Raw genomic sequence first — 25,524 nt, forward strand, 5'->3', positions numbered from 1 at the left:
CAGCTCCATACCTCTGCCCTGCCCAGACCTTCATCATGTCACTCCTGACATCTCTGCCCACAGCCTCTGCCCCATCCATCCTGCAACCAGGGACCCGATTAACCTCCTAAGCAGCAGTTGATCAAAACATTCCTTTATCTGAAACCTTCTATGGTTCCTTATTGCCATTAAGATTCCTTAACATGGAATGCTTTCAGGGCTCCAGAATCTGTCCCCAGATTTTCCTTCAATTATTCATCTTGCTGAGCTCTTCAGACTCCAACTAATTTACTCACTGTCCCCAAAACATGCCAAACATTTTCCCACCTCTGAACTTTTACATGACACTAACATTAGACCCTCATTATTGACTCTTCTAAACGTTCCCCATATTTCAAAACTGAGCTCCAAGCCACCTCTGTGAAATCATCCGTAAACACATCAGCTATTCCTCCAATTTTGAGTGTATACTTGTTTGTTGCTTTTGCATAATATGTAATGCCTCCTCTAGCAAGGGAATCACAGGAGAGTTTCTCCCAAAGTCATGCATTTCCCCAAAAAGAATGCTGTCTGTTCCGGAGCTACTACTGTTGTGAGCAACTAAAAGTTGTCTTCCTTGGGCTCTCTCATAGTAGTCCCTGCCCCTCTTTTCCTCATGAGACTATGTCAAGGCTAATGTGAAAATACTTCATGCACTGTTGCCAATGTATGTTAGGGATGAGCATAAAACAACAGACAAGGGGAAACAGAATCAATTGCAGACCCTAACATTTTAACTTTCTTAAATGTTTTTCTTCAACACTTTCCTATGGTTCATACTTTAAATGACTTTAAAATTATGCTTTAAGTAAATATATGCTTTAAATAATTTTTATTTGCTTCATTTTTCCTTCATAGCTATCCCTTTTTTTTTGTCATCAAAGATATGTGCGTTTTTTATAAAAACACTTTCTTGTCCCCTGCTGACTACCTCTGGAAGCTTCTTGTTGACCTCTGGTTTTTTGGTTTCTTTTTTTGGCTTTTCATTTCTTAGGGTGGTGGTGGTGGTAGTGAAGGAGAGGGGTCTTCTGGTGGCCCCTGCATAAGCACTCCCCCTCAACATGAGCATGATTAACTGGAACCACTGTTATTTCTGTGGTGTAGACAAAATGAGCCATGTAGCTATTAACATCTCCCTGATTTAAAAAGAAACACGGAACTTTCTTTTTCCTGCTGTCCTTAGGGAGGAAAGGTGTAAATATAAGAGACTGTAGCTAGTATCTTGGAAGTCCCCAGGAGACAGGCGTTTCCTCTTGGTCACTGACTCTCTGGGTCACTGACGCTCCTTGAACAGCAGGGCCACCGTGTCTCCCTTTGAAGCAAGTGATCCTTAAGGAATTTTCCAGGTTTAGTAACTTCTGTCTAGCTCCGAAAAGACGTAATGGCTGCAAAAGTGCTTCGTTGAAGAAGATAAGATATATTCATTTTTAAATAAAAATACTTATGGGCGAGAAAAATCGGAGTGGACTGAATCAATTACAGTAAATCTATGGGCTCTAAGGGAGCAAATAATCCAGGCTGGCTGAAAGAATTAAATATTTTAAATTTATAAAGCCAGGGACCCTCAAATCCATAAAAGGATTCAATCTTCTTCTTCTTTTTTTTTAGGATTCAATCTTCTAATAATCCCGGGAGGGGGCGCAAGAGCAGGATTCTTGTTTCTATTTTACGAATGAGGAAACTGAGGTTCAGAAAGCCTAAGTGGCATGCCTCTTCAGTAATCGGCCAATCGTCGCTGCCCTAACTTCACCTCACCTCCCAGTGCAGCACTAGAGTCCCCTCAGGGGTGGCCGTCCCTGGTCAGTCCAGCTCCAGCAGACGGGGTGGGTAGGACGCTCCCTATCAGGCAGCACTTCCGCCTCCCGGGGCCCGCGCAGCTCACCTCCCTCACCTCCCGCCCTACCCCAGTCACGAGTTGTTTTAGGGGGACCGCCCCTCCACTTGCTGATTGGGTAGCTCCTGAACCATTGTTGTCCTCTGATTGGTTGTTCCCTTTTCGGCTCTGCAACACCGCCTAGACCGACCGGATACACGGGTAGGGCTTCCGCTTTACCCGTCTCCCTCCTGGCGCTTGTCCTCCTCTCCCAGTCGGCACCACAGCGGTGGCTGCCGGGCGTGGTGTCGGTGGGTCGGTTGGTTTTTGTCTCACCGTTGGTGTCCGTGCCGTTCAGTTGCCCGCCATGGCTGAGCTGGATCCGTTCGGCGCCCCTGCCGGCGCCCCTGGCGGTCCCGCGCTGGGGAACGGAGTGGCCGGCGCCGGCGAAGAAGACCCGGCTGCGGCCTTCTTGGCGCAGCAAGAGAGCGAGATTGCGGGCATCGAGAACGACGAGGCCTTCGCCATCCTGGACGGCGGCGCCCCCGGGCCCCAGCCGCACGGCGAGCCGCCGGGGGGTCCGGGTGAGAGTGCGGGCGCGTTTGGGGCGAGAGGACTTGTCTGGAAACTCGGTCCACAGTGGGTCCGAGAGCTTCTGTGTGACTCGTGCTCCTTGCTGAATTAGGAGGTTAGGGAGCAGTGCAAACAGGAAACGAGACCCTGGCCCGGTCTTTCAGAAACCTAGGCTCGAGAAGCCTGTTCGGTTCTCAGCATGTTTGAGTGCTTCTGGGCGCGGGCGGAGCGAGAAAGCAAGTGTAGGGTGGCAGGCTCCGGAGCCGGAAGAAGCCCGTTCAATTCAGCAACTTTTCATTAAGCATTTGCTGTGCCTTTAGTCCGGTCTCTGAAGCAACCGCATTGGCGCAGTTTTTCCAGACTTATAAGCTTATAAGTCTGAGCCGAGCACAGAACTCGTTATTAGAAAAGGAGGGCGGAAAAAAATAAGAATGGAAATATCGTTTTTGAGAGATACAAACAAAAGTAGCAATGCAGTTCAGCATTTAAGCACTTAAGGTGTACAGAGTGTTGGATTACGAGGAGGAAGGAGGGAGTAGGGAACTCGAAAGATGATCTAGGTCTGGAGAAAGAACTGCCAAGCGCGGTAGGAGTTTGCTATCGTTGAGCGATTGATTTACAGCTAGGACTTCTGGAGCTCTTCCTCTGGGAACAGCTTTGGTAGGCAATATTGCCTAAGCAGAACCCAAGATTAGCCTAAACCAATCAGGGAGGGATGAAGAGGTGAATAGAGAATGTTCTCAGCCAAACTCAAGTAAAAATGGGGCAGGTAGGATGGCAGTTTGACCTTTGGATGCCTTAACCTGTGTGTGATGCTTAGGATCATGAGTGGAAAAGACCTACTTAATAATACAAAGAAGTAGGAAATTTAGCTAGAAGAAATGAAATACGGCTTTTCATTCACTTAAAAAATTCCAACTAAGGGAGAATAGGGCACTACTGGGGCATATAGGAGTAGTGTCTACCCTAAATTCAAACCTTAAGGAGCCAGGTAGGTAACATATACGAGAGAAGCTGGCTTGACATGAGACAGTAGAAGTGTTGGAGACTGAGGCTTTGCTGCACTATAGTAGTGCTCTGTGTAAAGGCATTCAGATCCAGCAGTCTCAAGTTACTGTGCCAGCCAGGCGGAACCTTTTGATGGATGGGTTGGTGGGTGTGCTGCTAGTTTGCAGCCTCTTGAGTTTTTGACTGCACCATGTTGCTTCCTAAACAAATCAGTCCCCCAATAAGAACTTAGTGGGAACATGTAATATGCCCGAATATGCAACTTTATAGCGGGTAGGTTGGACTAAACTAGGCTGTGATTGTGAGATGAAGTTGGCCTTAAGTGATTAGGGGATATTTTCATTGGGTGGTCTCTAACATTTGTCTGAGAATTTTAAAATTGACTTCTTAGACCCTTAGTTTAACCTTCCTCATTTAATAGAAGAGAAGCAATCCTAGAGAGAAACGACTTGCTTAAAAAAGCACGAGTTAATAGCTGAGCCCCAAGTCTACCCACTCTTAGAATATACCACATTCTGTTGCAGTGTTTAGTTGTTTTAGCAGGGGTGTAGTGCGATAACAGACAGGCAGCTGTGGCTGTCCCAGGTGGAACAGATTTGGGAGAAGCAGAACCCAAGATCTGTAGTTGGAAGATTGTCCTGATTCAAGGACAGTGTTACCCTTACTGTTTTATCTCCACTGCCTAGCAGTGTGTCTGACATGTAGTAGATGCTCACGTTTGACAAAGAAATGGGCAAAAATGTCAGATCCAAGGGTCCTATGTAGAACTGACAGATCTTGGTGACGGGCAGTTAGGGAAGGTAAAAGGGAGAGAATAGAGTTGGATGCTCGGTCCTTTGTGCATCAAGCCTTCGGCAAAGGGAAGGAAAGAAATGGTTGCTGACTTAGTTCCTAGGAGGGACTTTCTTAGTGAACTAAGCATTTGGTGACTTAAAGCCAGATTCCTGACAGTGTAATTGAAGTTGGTAATATGCAGTGGTCAGCATTTCCTTTGGAGTTTAGAGAACTGATTGGACACTTTTTCTCTCTTAGTTTTCTTTTTCCTTCTTTTTTTTTTTTTTTAAAGATATGCTCTAGTGGTTAAGATTCTATGCTATCCTAAACTGCTTGAGTGTGAGTTTAGCTTTGTGATCTCAGACAATGTATATAACTACCACCACTGCCCGGCCTCAGTTTTCTCCTTTGTAAAAGTTGCATAATATAATTTATAATGCTATGTGGCATCTTTAGGATTACATTAAAGAGTGTCTATAAAGTGCTTACAGTTATATTAAGTATCTAGTGAATTCCAGCTACTATTAGTGGGAGAAAGGAGTTACAAGGCCTTTAGGCTTTGAAGTGTACTGAGTAAATTGAGGTTTTAGGCGGGAGCTCTCTTTCTGATGTATTATACAGAGATATATAGGCAGTCAGCTATGACAGATTGATGAGAGGAAAATAAACTGGCCCCAGCCTTGCGGAAAGCGTCTATGGAGGATGGGCACAGGCAAAAACCAGAGGGGTTAGGGCTAAGCCTTGGATGACTCCTTTGGTTGTTAAGAGATCCAGAAAAGAGACGTAGGTTTAGAGGCAGGAAGAAACCAGCTGGGTGAAGTGATATTGAGGTAACCAGCTGTGGGGGATATTGAGGAAGAACAGGTGGTCATGAAGGAGGCAGCACAAGTGGAGCTGTTGAAAAGCTCTCAATCATGAGGGCTGAGTCGGGGAAGAGAACAGGAGAGACAAGCCACAGAGAGAGTACAGCAGTAAGGCACTATTATGGTGTTTTGTTGTTTTTGAGACAGTCGCTCTGTCACCCAGGCTGGAGTGCAGTGGTGCGATCTCGGTTCACTGCAACCTCCGCCTCCTGGGTTCAAGCAGTTATCCTGCCTCAGCCTCCCGAGTAGCTGGGATTACAGGCGCCCACCACCGTGCCCAGCTAACTTTTTGTATTTTTAGTAGAGACGGGGTTTCACCATGTTGGCCAGACTGGTCTGAAACTCCTGACCTCAGGTGAGCCACCCGCCTTGGCCTCCCAAAGTGCTGGAATTACAGGTGTGAACCACCGCACCCGGTGACAAGTTATTTCTTGTAGGAGAAGAAAGAGACATGGGTGAATTAAAGGGAAGCTTTCTGGAGAAGTAATTTTATTGGTAGCAGTGGTGGAGGGAAGTTTAGGGAAATCTCATGCATGATAGTTAATTGTACTGCACATTTGCTGTATACCAGGTACACTTTCAGATCCCAGCAGTAGCTCCACAGGTTAAGTGGTAGTGTCATATTTCAGATGAGAATGGATCGGTGTGGAAGTTGAGCAGTGTCACTAAGGTAGCAAGGTAATAAATGGCTCAAGTGCAGCTTCAAACGTAGGTCTGCTTGACTTCAAATGTTTCTGGAATGTGGAAAGTTGAAAGTGGGTTTGGGACAGTCTTTCACTTTTGAAAACTGGCCCTTTTTCTGTCTGGAGTTCCTGAAAGGCCCTAGAAAGTTTCCTTCTGAAGCATCGTGTTGCTTAGTTTAGTTGTTGTAGTAAGTCAAGGCCCTACATGTCCTTTCTGCATGTTTCCACAGCAACAGACGATCCCTTGGCTTGAGCCAGTTGATTCTTGTAAGAATGTTAGTGCAGTAATACAGTAACTAATAAAGAGGAAAGCAGATGCCAGTGGGTCTGGAGGAGCCTTCAGACAGCATGTGATTTTTAAGGAGATGTGGGATGAGGATTGCTTCTTGTTTTGTATATGGAGTAGTGATCAAAGTCTCTCATATTCCAGCCCAGGGCTGGACTATATTAGTGGATAGTTGGTATGTCAATTGTACTATATTAACCATAATGTAGGCCTGGCCAGACTAGCCACTGTAGGATCTAGGATTTAAAACTATCTCACTCTTCTGTCTTACACAAAAATAAATTCCAGGTGGATTAAAGAGAGACATTTAAAAAGTAAAAGAAGAAAAGTGAGTATTTGTCTATCTCATAATAGGAAAGGCCTTCAGCATAAAAGCAGATACAGAAATCATGAAGAAAAAGTCGATCATGTCTACATACACAAATTAAGTTGTTCCAAGTGTTAAATACCATAAACCAAATCAAAAGAGAAACTAGGGAAAATATTTGACTATTAGAGAGCAAATACTTAGAGATCAAAAAATAGCAGGAAAATAGGCAAACTCAGAAAATTCAGTAAAGAAGAAAATCAGGTGTCGGGTATGTGATTACCTCACTGGAAATAAGATTGGCACAACAAAGCCACCATGAGTTTGTTTTTTTTTTCCATTATCAAATTAGCAAAAATTTTAAAACATGATCAAGCACAGTCCCTAGTATCAGGGAAGGTCTAAGAAATGGGGCACTTGTGCTGCTAGTAGTAATATAAACTGGTAGACTAATAGGAACAAGTGGGTAGAATTTTAGAAGTCTTTGAAATACATATCCTGGGCCAGGTGCGGTGGCTCACGCCTGAAATCCCAGCACTTTCGGAGGCTGAAGTGGGCGGATCACCTGAGGTCAGGAGTTTGAGACCAGCCTGACCAACATAGTGAAACCTCGTCTCTACTAAAAAATACAAAAATTAGCCGGGCATGGTGGCACGTGCCTGTAATCCCAGCTATTCGGGAGGCTGAGGCAGGAGAATCACTTGAACCTGGGAGGCGGAGGTTGCAGCAAGCCGAGATCGCGCCAGTGTACTCTAGCCTGGCCAACAGCGTGAGACTCCGTCTCAAAAAAAATAAAAAAATACATATCCTGGCTGGGCGCAGTGGCTCATGCCTGTAATCCCAGCACTTTGGGAGGCTGAGGTGGGTGGATCGTCTGAGGTCAGGAGTTCGAGACCATCCTGGCCAACGTGGTGAAACCCCCGTCTCTACTAAAACTACAAAAAAAATTAGGTGGGCATGATAGCTCACGCCTGTAGTCCCAGCTACTCAGGAGGCTGAGGCAAGAGAATCACTTGAACAACCCAGGAGGTGGAGGTTGCAGTGAGCCAAGATTGCACCACTGTACTCTAGCCTGGGCAACAGAGCAAGACTCTCTCTCAAAAAAAAATAAAATACATATCCTGTGATCCAGCAATTCCTTTTTTTTCTTTCTTTTTTCTTTTTTTTTTTTTTTATTTTTTGAGATGGAGTCTCGCTCCGTCACCCAGGCTGGAGTGCAGTGGCGCGATCTTGGCTCACTGCAACCTCTGCCTCCCGAGTTCAAGCAATTCTCCTCTTTCAGCCTCCTGAGTAGCTGGGATTACAGGCTCATGCCACCACCCTGGCTAATTTTTGTATTTTTAGTATATGGAGGTGGGTTTCACCATGTTGGCCAGGCAGGTCTTGAACTCCTGACCTCGAGTGATCCTCCCACCTTGGCCTCTCAAAGTGCTGGGATTATAGGTGTGAGCCACCGCGCCCAGCTGTAACCCAGCAATTCTACACCAAGAAATTTATTACAGAGGCGAAATTGAATATGCTTCCCCCATGCTTTCACTAGTTTGATAAACTTCATATTTCCAAAACTTTATAGAGTGCTTAAAAAACTACATAGGTAGGTGGCACATGCCTTAAAGTGGTAAAAGGCCACTGACAAACTATAAGAAACTCATTTTTGTACTGACATATAGGAGTAAAAGTCAACTAGGAAAATTAAGAAAAATATGAGAGGCCAGGCATGGTGGCTCATGCCTGTAATCCAATACTTTGGGAGACCGAGGCGGGTGGATCGCTTGAGTCCAGGAAATCGATAGCAGCCTGGGCAGCATGGCGAAACCCCCTTCCTACAAAAAAATAGAAAAATTATCCAGGCGTGGTGGCGCATGCCTGCAATCCCAGCTCCTGTGGGGACTGAGGTGGGAGGTTCGCTTGAGCCCAAAAGGTCGAGGCTACAGTAAGCCATGATTGGGCCACTTTGCTCCAGCCTGGGCGACAGAGCAAGACTGTCTCAAAGATGAAGCTGCAGGTCTCTGCTCACTATGGGTGATTCCAGGCCACACTTTTTTTTTTCCCTCATGCAGAATTTTCATAGAGAAACACTGTTCTCTTTCTGCTAGTCTTCCATTTGTTACCACTGTAAAATAGAAAACAGAAAATAAAATCAAAAGCTTTTGGACTTGGGAGCTTAAGGACAGATGTGTACACATTTTGGTGAAATTTGTATATAAGCACATCTTGGTTTTATTTGTTGTATATAGCACCTACCACAGGGATAGCATTTAGTAGCTCAAGGTTCATACAGCATATGATGCTGTATTCTACTGTACAACCCTTTGGCCCAGTGTTTGACCAGTCCTTATTGATAGACCAAAATCTTATGTCTTGCAGATGCTGTTGATGGAGTAATGAATGGTGAATACTACCAGGTACAGAGTACTCTGATTCTGTTCATTGATAGTGATTGAGAATCTTCCTTTCCTGTGATTTTAATTGACTGACCTAGAAAGAAACCCCAGTCCTTTGACTTTCCTGAATGTATTACTGGCTGGTGTGTTATCTACCAAAGTGGAAAGATTTAAAGAGAGGTAGCATTGATAAAAAGAGAACTGTTTAAAAATGTTATTTACCTGCCCCTAGTGTTATCACCTTTATTCTAAAGAAATCACCATTCAAATGATACTGTGTTGAGTGCAGTAAGTTAATACTAATACTTTAAATAATTCTCCTTCCATCTTTGTTTATAGTCTGATTAGGTTAACCTGGTAATATTAATATTCCTTAGTTCAGTGAGTGGCATATGGAATAATTTTGTAAAGATTAACATTTATTTGAGTCTTTTTTTTTTTTTTTTTTTTTGAGACAGTCTCACTGTCGCCCAGGCTAGAGTGCAGTGGCACGATCTTGTCTCATTGCAACCTCCACCTTCTGGGTTCAAGCGATTCATCCACTTCAGCCTCCTGAGTAGCTGGAATTACAGGCGCATGCCACCACGCCCGGCTAATTTTTTGTATTTTTAGTAGAGATGGGGTTTCGCCATGTTGGCCAGGCAGGTCTTGAACTCCTGGGCTCAAGTGACCATCCCGCCTTGGCCTCCCAAAGTGCTGGGATTACAGGCGTGAGCCACCGCACCCCGCCAGAGCCACCGCAACCTTGGCTCACTGCAGAACCCGTTTCTAACAACAATGGCGGCTTTTGTAAAATGTTAAAGGATTACCTTAAAAGCAACAACACAGGCCGGGCACGGTGGCTCACGCCTGTAATTCCAGCACTTTGGGAGGCTGGGGTGGGTGGATCATTTGAGGTCAAGAGTTCGAGACCAGCCTGGCCAACACAGTGAAACCCGTCTCTGCTAAAAATACAAAAATTAACCAGGCGGTAGTGGCATGTGCCTGTAATCCCAGCTACTGGGGAGGCTGAGGCAAGAGGAGAATTTGCTTGAACCCGGGGAGTAGAGGTTGCAGTTGGCCAAGATTGCGCCACTGCACTCCAGTCTGGGTGACAGAGTAAGACCCTGTCCCGTCCCCCCTTCCCCCACCCCAGAAAAAAAAAAAAAAAAAAGCAACCACATAGGCCAGGCGCAGGCACCTGTAATCTCAGCTACTCGGGAGGCTGAGGCAGGAGAATTGCTTGAACCCGGGAGGTGGAGGTTGCAGTGAGCCGAGATCGTGCCACTGCACTCCAGCCTTGGCGACAAGAGTGAAAACTCTGTCTCAAAAAAAAAAAAAAAAAACAGAACCAGGGGTTCTAACTCAGGTGAAGTGCATTTTAGGAAGGAATTTTTGGTATTAATATAGCACAATTGTGTTTTGTGTTAAGGAAAGTAATGGTCCAACAGACAGTTATGCAGCTATTTCACAAGTGGATCGATTGCAGTCAGAGCCTGAAAGTATCCGTAAATGGAGAGAAGAACAAATGGAACGCTTGGAAGCCCTTGGTAAGGAATCCCTTCTGTGTTTTGGTGTCTGTTTTCAGTGGAGTAGTTGAGCTGGACTCTACTTTTATTCCTTTTTAGCTCACATTAACCAGTGTCATTGTCTGGTCTTTGGGAAGATATCTTCTCAGCCTGAAGGTTACAAGGCTACCTGCACAGAGATGCCTAATCACAGGCCATTGTGTGAGGAGTAGGGTAGCCGGAGATCCCCAAGATCCTCTCACAGGAAGAGCATAGTGATGCTGCTCCTGACCTCAAGAGTAGCCTCAGGTGGTGTTTATAGAGTGCTTTATAAACTTGAAGGATTCAAGTTTCCTATGTCCGTGGACTTTAACAGTCCATTTTTCTTTTTTCTTTTTTCTTTTTTTTTTTTTGAGATGAAGTCTCACTCTGTTACCCAGGGTGGAGTGCAGTGGTGCGATCTCGGCTCATTGCAAGCTCTGCCTCCCGGGTTCACACCATTCTCCTGCCCTCAGCCTCCTGAGTAGCTGGGTCTACAGGCGCCCGCCACTACGTCCCGCTCATTTTTTTTTTGTATTTTTAGTAGAGACAGGGTTTCACCGTGTTAGCCAGGTTGGTCTCGATCTCCTGACCTTGTGATCCACACACCTTGGCCTCCTAAAATGCTGGGATTACAGGCGTGAGCCACCGCGCCCGGCCTCCATTTTTTATTTGAAGGCTAAATGAATTTAAAGTAACACGAGGAAAATGAGGTATGTTAGGAAAAAATGTACAATTTGTTTTTCCTACCTTAATATCTCTGTAAGGTAAGTTTTACAATTTTACAGGTAAGAAAAGTGGAGGAGAGGTAGAATAAGTATTTGGAATACTCAGCTAAGGAATGGTAAGAGTCACAATTTCAGCTGAAGTCTGCCTTGCTTCAAAGTCACTACCCATCCCCATCAGCCACATTGCTTTCTAAACATTTAATGTGCGTGGCCATCTAGCCACACAGCCTGGCCTTTGATAAAGAGATGTGTACGTGGAGTGTCACCTGTTGGTTCATGATCAGGGGAGACTTGTGTCTGTACATGGTGGATTGGAGAAGTATGCAGAGTGTGAGGATATAATCCACATTGTGGCCTTTTCTTTGTTTTTTCTTTTTCTTTTTTTAATCAGCTGACTTTAAGATTCATCTTTTCTCAACTTTACAGAACAATTGAAAGGAGGAAAATAAACATGTGCACCCCCAGATTCAGTAATTAATGGATTATCTTTATATAAATGATATGTTTTAGACATACACACACACAAATTGTTTTGGCTGACCTACTTTAAGATAAAGACATCATATACTTTGTGTCTAAATATTTCAATGTACACCTCCTAGAAATAATGACATTCTCCTATGTAACCACAACGTCAGCAGTATTATTCCCTCTTGGGAACTGTTGAACTAGTGAAAACATGAGTCCTTATTTTTCAGATGGGATAACTGACACCCAGAAATAGGAAGGGACATGACCCAGATGACACAGCCAATTAGTGCCAAATCATTTATCTCTCTAGTCCAATTTAGGTGGCTTTCAGAACAAAGAATGCACTTAGTATTTGAACCTTTATAGCACCATTCATTAGTGATTTCTTTGGTGGAAATATTCTGTATCTGTGCTGTCTCGTATGGTAGCCACTAACCACATGTAACTGTTAAGTACTTGAAGTGTGGCTTCACAATTCAAGTGTGACTGAGAAACTGAATTTTAAATTTTCTTTAATTTTAATAAATTTACATTGAAGTAGCCACATGTAGCTAGTAGCTACCATATTGGACAGTGGAGCTGTAGGAAGATGAAAATAGGTCCTAACAGCTTTGGTCCTTGCTTGTTCTTTGTGTCTCTTGAGTATGCTTAGAGGCAAGATTTAGCTGGTCTTAGTACTGCTGTAGTATTTTTCATGTTACAGAACCCAAATTTATCTTTTCTGTTTTACCAAGCTCTAGCAGTTTTTCTTCTCCATGGAGAGAGTCTACTTTGGTGTCTGGAAAGATTTAATTTTTCAATTATGAAATTGGGTACTTGGGGAATACTCTTATGAGCTGTTTTCTTAATTCAAAGTGCTTTTTTTGAGAGAAGTACAACATTTGGCCTTGCATTCCAACTGAATTGAATTCACTTGGTTCATGAACAAGGTGTTCCTTCAATTTCACCTTTTTTCCTTGCAAAAACTGTGAGAAAGCACGCGATGCTAAAAATAGAGAACCGGTGCCAGTGGTTTTCAGCCTAGCTGCTGGCTACATTCTCAAGTAATTTTCTTTTCTCTGACCAGTAACGAGGGTGGCCAGAAGGGAAGGCACCTGTGAATGTGCTTTGCTCTCTAAGGGGACTCTTCCTCTTCATCCTCTGAGGGGAAGAATTCTAAATTAGTATTGCAGTGGCACTAAAGCTGCAAAAGCCAGAAGACCAATTTAAATGTACTATTTTATGCAGTAACCACAGTCTGTTCAGGAGGTCACCATTTTTATTTAATTTCATTTTTCAGAGATAAATTTTATATTTTAGTCCTAATGTATAGTAAATGTTAACATCAAAATACATTGAAAGAAAATACTGTCCAATCAAAAAGGTAATTATTTGGAAGTAATTTCACCATGATTGAAAAGGGGGCCTTACATTTTGAATTAGGTATTGTCACATGGCACTTCCAGCCCACAGCTTCTCATTGCAGCATAGCTAAATCTTGCATTCCACATCTGTACTTCATGCCATGGATAGACACATATTAGATGTTTACTGTAGAGGCTAGGTGGTGTGGCTCAGGTCTGTAATCCCAGCACTTTAGGAGGCTGAGGTGGGAGGATCACTTGAGCTCAGGAGTTCAAGACCAGCCTGGGCACCATAGTGAGACCCTATCTCTACTAAAAAAAAAAAATTAGCTGGGGGTTGTGGTGCACGCTTGTGGTCCCAGCTGCTTAGGAGATTGAGGTGGGAGGATCACTTGAGCCTGGGAGATTGAGGCTGCAGTGAGCTGTGATAGAACTACTGCAGTACAGCCTGGGCTACAGAGCGAGACCCTATCTCAAATAAAACAAAAAAAAGTTTACTGTATATACTTTAGAGTCATCAGTGAAAAATCTGAGAAAATGATTCTTCTGAACGACAGATCACCTTCCGACAAATTAGATACCGAGATGAACGTTCCTACTAACCTGAAACTTGGGGGAGTTTCTAGCTGCTATTAGGCTTTTTCTTATAGTTACACACAGCCTTTTGCAGGTTGTTACTATAAGACCTTTCTTGCAAAGGCCCTAAAAATGCCCAAGAATACTTCATTTTTCATCCCTTCTAGTAGTTACTTGACACCGCTACTGCTATCTACTCTCCTTCTCAAAGACACTAATTACAGTTTGGGCTCTTGGTCTGCACTTTCAAAACTCTGTCCAGATCACTGGTGGTCACGTTTTGTGATTATTTCTAGGCTTGCCTCCCTTTCTGTCCCTCCCTTTGGAGGAAGCATAATGAGGTAAGCAAAGTGTAAGCTTTACAGCCAGATCTGGGTTTGAATCTTGGCTCTGTCACTTACTATAACCTTTAGGAAATTCACTCAAACTTTCTGAGCTTTAGTTTTTCTCACTGCTGAAAATGTGATCAGAGTTTACCTTCTTGGGATTGTTGTAAAGATTGAGTTAGATGTCTATAAAACACCTGCCAGACAGAAGAACTTGTTTAAAGTGAAGTATCAGGTTAACTTCAAGTGTCAGCTGCCTCAGTAGCTATGACATGTATTTCTTTTTTTTTTTTTTCTTTTTTGAGACAGAGTCTCACTTTGTTGCCTAGGCTGGAGTGCAGTGGTGCGATCTCAGCTCACTGCAACCTCTGCCTCCCAGATTCAAGCGATTCTCCTGCCTCAGCCTCCCCAGTAATCCCCAGTAGCTGGGATTATAGGCATGCACCACCACATCCAGCTAATTTTTTGTATTTTTAGTAGAGACGGGATTTTACCATGTTGGCCAGGCTGGTCTCGAACTCCTAACCTCAGATGATCCACCTGCCTCGGCCTCCCAAAGTGTTGGGATTACAGGCGTGAGCCACCACAAGCAGCCGGCATGTATTTCTTTATCTCTCACTATCTACTGATGTATGTCTCTTCAGCTTAGTGTCTTAGAGAAAACCATATTTAGTCCTCAGAAACTTCATGTTTCATGTTTGAGAATCCAATCTAGCAAACCTGCTAGGTATGCATTTTCTTGCTGTCATTTCTAGAACCTTTAGGTTAACTGTTAGCAATGATCCCATACCTCTACCCCCTGCACTTCTCTCCAGTGGAGTTTCTTTTGTAGCTCTGCCCTGGCTCTGCCACAAACACACTGCAGACCAAGTAGGAGTAGATGCTTTGTGGTCCTCTCTAGTGCTAATATTCTGTGTTCTATCATTCTCTGGTTCCTGAATCATCTCTACCTTTGGTAATTGTCCTAATAGCACCCTGCCTCACAGAAGTGCTTCTACCATATTTAGTTATGAGAGTGCCACCTTGTGTTCCACAAAACCATTGTCAAACCTGGAATATGGACTAGTTTGGGAGAAGAGGTAAAAGATTAAGATGAATACCCTACTATGAACTAATATTGGCAGCATTGGTAAAGAATCATCTATAATTGTTTCTCCCCCAATTGGTGCCCAGAAGGCTTTTTTCCTATTAATAATAGAAGTCAGTATTTCCACATACACCCTTCTCTTTTGCTCTGCCCAAAACAAGACAAAACAAAACTAATGACCCACTAAGATGTCAGTGGACTGGGATAAGACCAGGAATAGGACTGTGGGAAAGACCAGGCAGGAATAGAAGCACTGAAATCAGAGTTGGTTGTGCAAACAGAGAAAACAGAAGTTTATCTTCCCCTCTCTACTCTTCTCCCCCAACAGGCACACAGACATGGACCTGCACCCACCACAAGTTCAGCAAGACCAAAATAAACTGATGAACTTCAGTTTGCACTTTGCCTCAATTGTATTGTCTTTCTCTTCTCTCCCTTCAAAGATGCCAATTCTCGGAAGCAAGAAGCAGAGTGGAAAGAAAAGGCAATAAAGGAGCTAGAAGAATGGTATGCAAGACAGGACGAGCAGCTACAGAAAACAAAAGCAAACAACAGGTCAGTCCGTGGTGGTTGTAGCACACTTTGTTTTCCAAAATTGAATCAAATCCATTCTCAGCATCCAGTCTCGGTTTTTGGCTTCTGCCTCCTTTAGTGTGAAATGTCTGCAGTTTTTAAAGAAAGTGCTTGAAACAGGTTGCAAGTCTCTCGGGTCTTGTGAGCATAATTCACCCTATTGTTTAGCCATCCCAATTGTAGTGAGCTTAGCTCTCTGAGAGTTTGGTTAATATGCATAACCTGTAATGGTGTGATTCAGCCAAGGGAAAAGTTACTTTCCATGGAACCCTGAAACGAAAGCTGGGTGTCATGAATACACCCAGATCTAGTTACTTTGGATATGATTATAGACTTGGTCATGTTGAGTCTCCTCAATATAGCCCTGCCCCCTGAAAGCCACTTCATGAAGGGGTCCGTTGGCAGGAATATGTGCTTTGTAATTAGGCAGCCAAGGATGTTCCAACATGATTATTTTAGAATTGAGGGTTCTGTGGGTACTTATTTGTGCCTTAAAAAGTCTTGAATTGACTTCTTAAAAATGTTCTGTTTGAAATAGATTTTATTTAGTTACTGATGGTTAAGGAGTTGTGAGGAGAAAAACGCTTTCATTCTCATATCACTACTCACCAGCAGCTGGGCTTTAATGCCCTACACTTAGAGCCCTTCTTGGAAGCAGCAAAGAGAGGATATGTGGTGTTGCTTCCCTCAGGGCAGGCAGGTTCAGAGCCCAACTTTCACTGAATAGTCAATCCATTCACTTCAGTGTATAAACGGGCCAGACCGAGCCTGGGGATATTTTTAATTTTCAGGGTAGAGCCTTGGGTTCTCGTATGCAGAGGCAGGAAGCAGGTTGGGTTAAGTGCCCTTGTCTCTGGCAGCTCTGTTAGACAGAGATGTGGCAGGAGAGAGAGCTAACGGCTTTGCCAGCCAGCCAGTGCTATTGTGGGTCCAGTATGACAGAGCAGTTGGACTCTCTTTTATATGCTAGCAGCCCTTCAGCTCATTGGATTCCGGCTTGAGCCTGTGTCCTGGTCACTTTCCTCTGGGGGCGGTGTGCTCAAGGAGTGCCTGTCAGGTTCCATGTGGAGTCCACAGGACTCCACAGTCCCAGTCCCACAGGACTGCTCTCTGGTGTGCAGGCTGGGTTGCCAGTGGTGATGGCTTCCATCAGCTACGTGGGGCTGTTGTTGAGCCTGTGGTCAGTAGGTGGTGCTGACAGGTCCAGGCTCCTGTGTCCTCTGCTCCCTCAAGATGATTTTCTCCCAGGTGGAAGTTCAGATCGGTAAAGCCGAGTGGGGACTGTGTGCAAGCACCCTGCGAGCCCTGAGAACTCCCCCAGCCTGCGACCCCAGCATTTAAGTTTAGTCTGAAGTACTGTAGCTGTGCCGACCCTCCCCGCTCTGGGTCTGTGATGCGTCAATAACTTAACACAAGTTTTCAAACTTAGATAATGAATATGTTGGTAACAGCCTTTCTGTTGCAGAAATTTTTTTCAAGGAAGTTTTGCTGAACTGTCAAGAAAGGGATATTCTCTGTATACAGAATCCGTTGTTCTCAGAGGGAGTAATGACACCTGTTTTTTTTTTTTTTTTTTTTTTGAGATGGAGTCTTGCTCTGTTGCCCAGGCTGGAGTGCGGTGGTGCGATCTCGGCTCACTGCAAGCTCCACCTCCTGGATTCACGCCATTCTCCTGCCTCAGCCTCCCGAGTAGCTGGGACTACAGGTGCCCGCCACCATGCCCAGCTAATTTTTTTCTGTTTTTAGTAGAAACAAGGTTTCACTGTGTTAGCCAGGATGGTCTCGATCTCCTGACCTCGTGATCTGCCTTCCTTGGCCTCCCAAAGTGCTGGGATTACAGGCGTGAGCCACCGCGCCTGGCCATGACACCTGTTTTTAGGAGCTCAGTCTTAAAAGTTTAGTCCCTCCAGGCATTGAATTTGGGCCTTGGTACCTTTCTGTACTTGGAACTGTAGAATGCTGGGTAAGCTGGTCTCACAGATGAACCTCTTAAGTTCCAGAGAGAAGGAACTTCCCCACTGCTCACTGAGAATGTAGAGCTGCTTAGGAAGCAGGTCACTTGCCTTGTGGGAACCTTGCAGCACAGGGCTGACTCTTGAGAGCATAACGCTAGTGGCACACTAGCCATTGTCACCAGGGCTCTAGGACAGAAGAGATGGTTTTTACAGTTTATTCCAGTGATTCTTCACTGGTTGGAGGTGGGATCCATTTGAGAGTCACTTTGGGGGACTTCTTCCAAGGGTCTACACCCTCCCCTGGAGATTTTTATATTGCTGACTACTCCCCCTCTCCATCCATGTTTGACTCTAAACTTTAGAGTTCAAAGGAATAGGTCCCATTTAGATGTATAAAGTAATTCATCCTTGTTATCTGTCTATGGGTAAAGAGTGAATATTTTTAGAAAAGAAAATGGGGGCCGGACACCGTGACTCAACATCTGTAATTCCAGCACATTGGGAGGCTGAGGCGGGCAGATCACTTGAGGTCAGGAGTTTGAGACCAGCCTGCCCAACATGGTGAAACCCCATCTCTACTAAAAATGCGAAAATTAACTGGGTGTGGTGGTGTGTGCCTGTAATCCCAGCAACTCGGGAGTCTGAGGCAGGAGAATCACTAGAACCCGGGAGGCAGAGGTTGCAGTGAGCTGAGATTGCGCCACTGCACTCCAGCCTGGGCAACAGAGCGAGACTCAGTCTGAAAAAAAGAAAAGAAAAAAGAAAACGGGGTGCTCATTTCAAGCAAGTATGATTCTCTCTGGGTGACTTCTGCAGTAGCTAGATGTTAAGGGGACCCGAGAGATAAGGCAGAAAGATGAGAAGTTTGAAAGAGGAAAGTCGGAGACAGGAAGGGCATCCAGTTAATTGTGAGAGCATCCTCAGGCCTCCTGCCTTCCAGCTGCCTCACCACTGGGTCACCAAAGCACTAGGAGCACGTCGCGCCTGGCACTGCACTGGGGGTGGGTGTGCTGTACTCTATTGTCAGTCCCCAGACTGCATCTCCCTTCTTTTATCCCAAGTTGAGGCCTAAGTGTCACAGTACAAGAGCTGTGAATTATTCAGTGACAGCCATGGAAAAGAATTTCCTTTTCATAGCCAGCCAGCCAGAGCAGTGACTGACTCCTGCAGCTGGATGAGTTTGCTCATCAAGAACAACCCCAGAACATTTCCCCTATTACAGGTAGCACTTGTGCTTGTCAGCTCTTTCAAGGCTTGAGAAGGTTTGGGGAACCCACAGTTCTCAGAGATGGCAAACATTTTTTTCTGTGCCCACTTTGAGGCTGTTTATGGAATGAAGTTCTGCATTGTATTCGTGCCTCCAGAGCTTGTCCTAGGTCAGGTATTCCTCTTCCCTCCCCTCTCCTAAGCCTCCCTGAGCCCCTTCCTGCCTTGGCTGAGGATTGCTACTTTCAAGTGAAGGACAAATAAGGGGAGGGCCACCTGTGTGTGTGTCTGATTTTCTGTTTGTTCTGGGCCTGCAACCTTGACAGGGGATGTGCTTGTCACTGAGGAGCTCTTTGGTCTTGGGCTAGCTGCAAAGGAGCAAGAGCCTGACATTCAAACTTTTGTTGTCTTAGTGATGATTTGACAGGAGTCATGAAACCTCTACTCTTCTTGTGGAGGGAAACCCAAGTTGAAATCGATCAGGTTTAGTCCTTTGTGTAAACTAAAAGGGTTATGGGTTTATAAGCCAGCCTGCCTTGCCTTTTCCTCCCACTCATTCTGCCCACAAACAACTCTGTTTTCCTGCTGAGTCACTTTAAGTTATAATCAGCCTGCTCTTTTTGCTTTCTTTAAATTTCCACAAAACACCTCCTGTGTATAAAACAAAATGGGAAAGAAGGAAGGGCATGTGTGAGCTTAAAAATTAACTTAAAATTACTAGAATTTGCCTTCAAATAAGTATGTGAGGTTAGCTTAATGACCAGGCATGATTATCCTTGAAAAATGTCTTTCCCCTTGCCCACCCCAAATCGACTTGACAAAGGACAGGGTAAGACTCCATGAGGGAGGTTCCATGTCCAGCCACAGTGGAGAAGAGTGGGCTGGCAGAGCCCAGGGAGTCAGTCCAGGACAACAGAGTCAAAGCCAGCCTGGCCCCTGCTGTCAAAATTTATCCACCCAGTCTGCCCCCTCCTTCCTGTCTGAGAGCCCTGCCATGTTGAGAGTTAAGAAGGGATGAAGTTCTGGATTCTGGGCTGCACCTTATCAAAGCCAATTGAGTCTGGTGTAAAAATATTCAGAAACTGTACCCGCTTCTTGAGTAGAGAGAGAGCCATATTCAGGAACAACAGAAGCCAGGGCCAGGATCCTAGTCCAGTGTTCTTCCCACCAGACCACTCACCTCCAGCCGTTTTTTCCTGTAAGGTTGAGATTTTAAAATGACGATATGTGTTCCCAGGATTCTGGAAGTGTATCCCACCCAGACAGTGTGGGGAAGCAGTAGTTAGATAATCCAAGATAAAACTGGCTTTGGGTCCTAGCGCATCTGGTGTCTGGCAGCATTCCTGCCCAGTGCATTAACTGAAACAGGAAGGTGGCGTGGCTTTCTGGGCACATACAGCAGGGAAGAAGCATGACTATACAGTAGAAAGAGCCCTGGACTTAGGGCCAGGCTGCCTTGGTTGTGAGTCCTGAATGCTGCCACTGTGGTGTAGCTGAGCAAGTTGTTCATCTCTAAGCCTCAGTTACCTCATCTGTACAGTGGGGGTGAGAACAGTCAGGGTCATAGGTTGTTAACAGTTAAGGATTGAATCAACATAATGTATGTGAAAGGGCTTAGTCCATGATTGGGTGCTTAATAAATGCCCGTGTTGCTGGGGTGAGCCAAAGGGATGAAGTTGGCAGTGCTTGCTCTGTCGTGGAGCAGTCCCCACGTGGGAAGGCCAGCGGGAAACCAGGCCTGCTGAAGTCTCCAGCGCTGGAAGCCTCACGGGGGTTAGGAAGGAGCCTTGGGAGCAGCTCCTCAGAGCACAGTTGTACCTCAATTGTGGATTTTAGATGTTTCTGCTTCTCAATGTTCTCTCTTTTTTCCTGCCTGCTTGCCTGCCTTTTGGACCTCTTGCTGTCTAGGGTGGCAGATGAAGCTTTCTACAAACAACCCTTCGCTGACGTGATTGGTTATGTGTATGTTGCAAAACTAATTCCTTTTTCTACATCTGATTCTTTCTACTTTTGTTTAGAGTTAATGCTCCTTTTATGTCACAAGTTGCTTTGCTTTTTAAATTATTTCAAATTGGCACTTTGGGGGCTGCCTAAGAATTGATAAGCGGGGTATGATCTGTTGATGAATCTTCCAGATTTGTGACTCCCTGCATCCTCTGATGGCCATTTTTCATATTTGGGGTTTTGGAGGGAAGAAAGCTAACTCGCTTTCAAAATGTGTCATTTGCGATCTTATCTGGGAACGGTTTGAGGCTCGGGGGAACTCTGCTCTCTTGCTCTTGGCTGCCATCACTGCTGCCATGCCCTGTTGCCTGCCTGCCTCAGGTGGGAAGGAGGTTTCCCCACCTGGGAGCAGGTGGCAGTCCCAGGAGGTTAGGAGCCAGTGAGCAGCAGCACCTTGCATTGCCAAAATCAGAGCTGTGGGGCAGCATTTTCCATACTTGGTTCATTCAAACAATGTGGGGTCGTTTGCCTCTCCCTCAGGCAGAAGAGTCCAGAGCAGAGGGGGTTGTCTCCAGTGGGTGTCTATAATTGTTCCTCTGTGGTCTTGCATGTCAGAAATTGCTATTTAGTGGTCAGCTTCTGATGTCCTGTCTCCTAGCACAGGGAAGCCCCCAGCTTTGAGATCAGGATAGTCAAAGTGTCTTGATACGGGCCACTTGGGCTTCTCCCCCTGACCCCCCCAAAAGAAACCTGCATCTTCTCTGGAGAAGGTGTTTTTCTTATTCTTTTTTTTTTCTTTTTTTCTTTTTTCTTTTTTTTAAGGATTTCTTTTATCAAAGCAGTATTGCTGAAGAGTTGGAAACAGTTCTCATTGTCTCCTCCTTAAAAATTAGGGCTGGCTTTACATGAGAAGTAAGGGTGGAATGGAAGAGGAGAGGAACCTGTGGAAGGTGGGCGATGAGCTCAGGTCTGTAGAGCCTCTCAGGGCCTATGACCTTGAGATGTTCATCCCCTTAGAAGATAGAACTGGGTTTCCTGGGCCCCCAGATGCATTTGCAGTGAGACTTGTGAAATGCTGGACTTACAGGTGGTGTTTGATTTGATTTCTGCACATTCTCTCTGGAGTAGAAATGGAGACTGGAAAGGTCGAGTCTGGTTTTGCTGGGCAGCTGGGTGGCCAGCAAAGCCAGCTGCACGTCCCCAAGCACAGATAGAGTGGCAAGGGCATGTCCAGCTTACTGACCATCTGCATTGAGCTCATTCTCATTTTCTATATCTGACTTAAAGTTTCTCTCGTTTCTTTTCTTCTCTTCACCTTTAAGCACAAACATAAACCATCCTTGCTACAGCCTAGAACAGTTAAGTAAACCTTTCTCACTGCCCCTAACTGTGTGTGCCATGAAGTCGCAGTGTTGTAGTGGCTCTGGGCTTCAGCGGTGTTTGCCACGGCCATCCCTGTGATAGTGCCACCCCTCCGTCCCCACAGACCAGTCATCTCCATTGCTTTTGCTTTGCCCGTGATGCTTGTTGGAGTAGATGAATATAGTGTGTCTTAGCGCTGTCCTTTCCGGCTGTAGCTCCCACCAGTTAATTCCGAACTGGGGGTGGGCTGACCTTGATGTGAAAGAATGTTGGAGCAGCATCCTGCCAAAAAGCAACTCACGTTGGCTCTCCTGCCAGTGTGCCCTGAGTGGCCCCAAGGCACCTGGCTGGAGGGAAAATGGCAAACTTTTGGCTGAACTGGAGAATGTCCTAACAAACCCCCTTCCAGAATGGCTTTAGTCTCTAGTGCTTGCTAGCATGGGAGCTTTGTCTTGAATTCCTTTTGATCTGCCCCGTTTCTCTCCAGCCTTAGGAATAAATCTAGAGGCTATTGTGCAATGATCTGTGGGCTTTTTAGAAGTCTCTAAATTTCCTTGAAATTCAGTACAGCCCAGCATAAACTACTCAAGTTCTTGATCAGCCTGCTGCTTTGTTCTTATTAATAAAAGCAGTGTGTAGCTGGCTAAGGACTTGTTTTATTAATGCTCCACAGGAGCAGAGACAGACAGAGAGACATAGTGAGCCTTGAACCAAACACCTGTATTCCAACATTTTACACAGCGGTCTGGGCACCCTGTGCCTAGGAGAGCCAGCTACGTGTCTACCTGAGTCTGACCTGGGCCAGGGGCTGTTATCTTGGGAAAGCCAGAATGTCATTAAGAAAGGGACAAATAGGCAGTTGCTTGTGTAGCAAGGCAGCCACCAGGTTGCTCAAAGGGGGTTCTGCATAAACCAACATATTTTGTTGTTGCTTCCAGGGCAGCAGAAGAAGCCTTTGTAAATGACATTGACGAGTCGTCCCCAGGCACTGAGTGGGAACGGGTGGCCCGGCTGTGTGACTTTAACCCCAAGTCTAGCAAGCAGGCCAAAGATGTCTCCCGCATGCGCTCAGTCCTCATCTCCCTCAAGCAGGCCCCGCTGGTGCACTGAAGAGCCACCCTGTGGAAACACTACATCTGCAATATCTTAATCCTACTCAGTGAAGCTCTTCACAGTCATTGGATTAATTATGTTGAGTTCTTTTGGACCAAACCTTTTTGTCTTTAGAGTTGTTCATTGTTTGTGATTGCATGTTTCCTTCCTTCAACTGTGTTCTCCCTGGCATTCAGAGAGGAGGGAGAGGAGGAAGAGGAAGGGGAGGGAAGCTTCCCAAGAGTAGCCTCAACCTGTGCTTCTGTGCATTATTCTGAGAATAAATTTCTGTTTCAAACTGTATTATGTGAAGCTTCTTTATTGACCTCAAGATGTGTTGTAGTTTGGAGTGAGGTTGGAAGGAATTTCCAGGAGGAATTTCCTTGAAATTTCTAGGGCTGAGGAGGCACAGCCACTGGGCACACAGCCCTGCCTTGAACTAAGATAGCACCGGGATCTAGAGTGGGATCCTGTGGACATTTTCATTTGAGAAGGGAGTTTAGTGGCTGAAGGTTAACCCCCTCATTATCTACCTAAGACACAGCTGTGAATCCTCTCACCAACCTAGTCGTTTTCTCCCAGATGGGCTCTTGCTTGCCAGTGTCCCTCAGTTTAGGGTCTTGGATAGTATATTTCGGCAGGAGTCTGTGGGGCACGTAGACTCTAGTAAGACCTTGACTCCTTTGGATCCGGCCAGTAAGCCTGAGTCAGGACGGCATTCATGTGTGGCTAGCCCCATTACTGTTGAGTCCTGTAGCACATGTTGGGTTCTGTGCCATCCCAAGCACTTGGTTCATATTTCTCTTGTAAAATCCTTCATCTAGACCTGTGCTGTCCAGTGCAGTATTCACCAGGCCCATGTGGCTATTTAAATGAATTTAAAATACATTTCTAGTCCTAGTCACAATTCATGTGCTCAGTAGCCATATGTGGTTAGGTGGCACTCGGATAGCACAGGTTATAGAACATGTCCATGGTCGCAGAAAGCTGCACTGGACCATGCTGATCTACCACAGGTGTTTCCAGGAGCCCGTGCTTTGTTCAGACACCAGTAAGTTCATTATCTGTCTTCAGAACCTGGCATAGTACCTGGCTCGTTTTAGGTGATGTTCCAAGCAATTATTAAAGCTATATTTCAGTAATCTGCTTATAACTACCTGGTACTTCCAAACTGGAGATTGAGGTAAACTGTAATACTATGCTCAGGATGGGGGTTAGGTGTTGCCATTGCCAAGAAGGAAAGGCCACTATCTCTTCAATGTTAATTATTTTTGGCTGGAAGGAGCTTTCATTACTTTTCCTGCTACCTCCCCGTTTCCAAGCTTAGTTGGGCTTTCCTTGACCTGGCCCACATTTCTGGCCTCTGCTTATTCCTCCCCCTTTAGTCAAATCTTATTACAATCAAGCAATCATTGTTCCCAGACTTTTGTTCCTACGGGACCTGCTAATCCCATTCCAAATGTCAAAATCCAATTTAAGAACTAGTTCAAAGGCCACCCCCCTTCCCCTGAACTCCCATGGCCATCTACCTGGGGCAGCTTATTTTTGGTAGTCTTGGTGCCATCGTCTGGACCAGTCTTGCCTCCCACACCAGCTGGGCTTCTTGAGGTGGGAGGTGGCAATTTTAAATGTCAACAAAATCTGTGACATTCTCTAGATGGAGAGGTGACTGAATAATGTGACAAAAGTGATGCTGGGATGACTTCCAAGGCTAGGTCATAAAAGGCAGTGCTGCTGATGGTTGATTTGTTGGAGCAACTAGCTGGTGGCCCTGAGCCGCCTCATAAAAAATTCTACCTTTGAAGCTACCCATGTGGTGAGGAAGCCCAAACTAGCCCACAGAGAGGCCACCTGAGAGACCCTGTAACCACACACATTGGGAGATGCCTGGCCAGCCAGCCTCGTGCTATTCCAGCTGACAACTACAAGTGCAGGATACTCTTGAGCTACAACTGTCAAGTTTGAGCCTTTCCCAAATCCTGACCCACAGAAACCACGACGTGAAACAATTACTGTTGTTTTAAGCTCTTCAGTTTTGAGGTTACACAGCAATAGTAATTTGGGATTGTTTCTAATGCCTGTATGAGACCCACATAGGGCCTCATAAAAAGAGGGAGTGGGTCTAGGGACTCAGTAAATGCTTAACACTTAGTTTCAAACCTCTTTCTTGGGGGCTACTTTGCTTTTTTATGCCAAATTTTCAATGTTATATATAGCAATGTTTTGTTTTTGTTGTTTTTGAGACAGGGTCTCACTGTGTCGCCCAGGCTAGAGTGCAATGGCATGATCATAACTAACTTACTGCAGCCTCCACTTCCCGGGCTCAGGTGATCCTCCCACCTCAGCCTCCTGAGTAGCTGAGACTGCACCATGCCTGGCTAATTTTTTTTGTATTGTTTTGTAGAGATGGGGTTTTGGCATGTTGCCCAGGCTGGTCTCGAACTCTAGGGTTCAAGCAATCTTTCTGCCTCAGCCTCCCAAAGTGCTGGGATTACAGGCATGAGGCACCATGCCCAGCCATGCTTTCTATTAATAGACTTTTTTTGGTTAAGAAAGCAATGATATTAGAGGCCTTAAGGAAGTTATATAACCTTCAAAACGTAAGCAGTGCAACAATTAAATCTCT

At 45.3% G+C, this 25,524-nt stretch overlaps 1 protein-coding gene and 1 long non-coding RNA gene across 14 annotated transcripts, besides 2 other annotated features; one reads left to right on the forward strand and one right to left on the reverse strand.

Annotated features, from left to right (window-relative positions):
- Window positions 1,698-2,323: an enhancer, noted in NCBI's record as "H3K27ac hESC enhancer chr9:36190553-36191178 (GRCh37/hg19 assembly coordinates)". NCBI's record gives its function as "activates a minimal SCP1, AML or CMV promoter by ChIP-STARR-seq in primed H9 embryonic stem cells {active_cell/tissue: H9 hESC(primed)}" and the evidence as "EXISTENCE:reporter gene assay evidence [ECO:0000049][PMID:30033119]".
- Window positions 2,016-23,201, forward strand: CLTA (clathrin light chain A). Of its 13 annotated transcripts, none has more exons than XM_017014257.2 (7): window positions 2,016-2,053; window positions 8,693-8,730; window positions 10,121-10,238; window positions 15,210-15,321; window positions 20,409-20,462; window positions 21,767-21,802; window positions 22,745-23,201. In XM_017014257.2, exons 2-7 carry the CDS (start codon window positions 8,710-8,712, stop codon window positions 22,914-22,916), a joined length of 513 nt encoding a protein of 170 aa, XP_016869746.1. In that variant the 5' UTR covers window positions 2,016-2,053; window positions 8,693-8,709; the 3' UTR covers window positions 22,917-23,201. The 13 variants fall into 13 exon arrangements, 12 of the variants coding, with proteins under 12 accessions (XP_016869746.1, XP_016869747.1, NP_009027.1 ...); NM_007096.4 differs by lacking the exon at window positions 2,016-2,053 and adding an exon at window positions 2,063-2,415; XM_017014258.2 differs by lacking the exon at window positions 20,409-20,462.
- Window positions 2,039-2,258: an enhancer, noted in NCBI's record as "active region_28348". NCBI's record gives its function as "activates an Ori minimal core promoter by ATAC-STARR-seq in GM12878 lymphoblastoid cells {active_cell/tissue: GM12878}" and the evidence as "EXISTENCE:reporter gene assay evidence [ECO:0000049][PMID:35858748]".
- LOC124902151 (uncharacterized) lies at window positions 15,863-25,153 on the reverse strand. The gene is made up of 2 exons (XR_007061474.1): window positions 24,428-25,153; window positions 15,863-19,696 (listed from the first exon to the last, which is right to left on the reverse strand). It is a non-coding gene; the product is annotated as an uncharacterized LOC124902151 (long non-coding RNA).

The sequence above is a fragment of the Homo sapiens genome, chromosome 9, assembly GCF_000001405.40.
Source record: "Homo sapiens chromosome 9, GRCh38.p14 Primary Assembly".
Taxonomy (NCBI): Eukaryota; Metazoa; Chordata; class Mammalia; order Primates; family Hominidae; genus Homo; species Homo sapiens.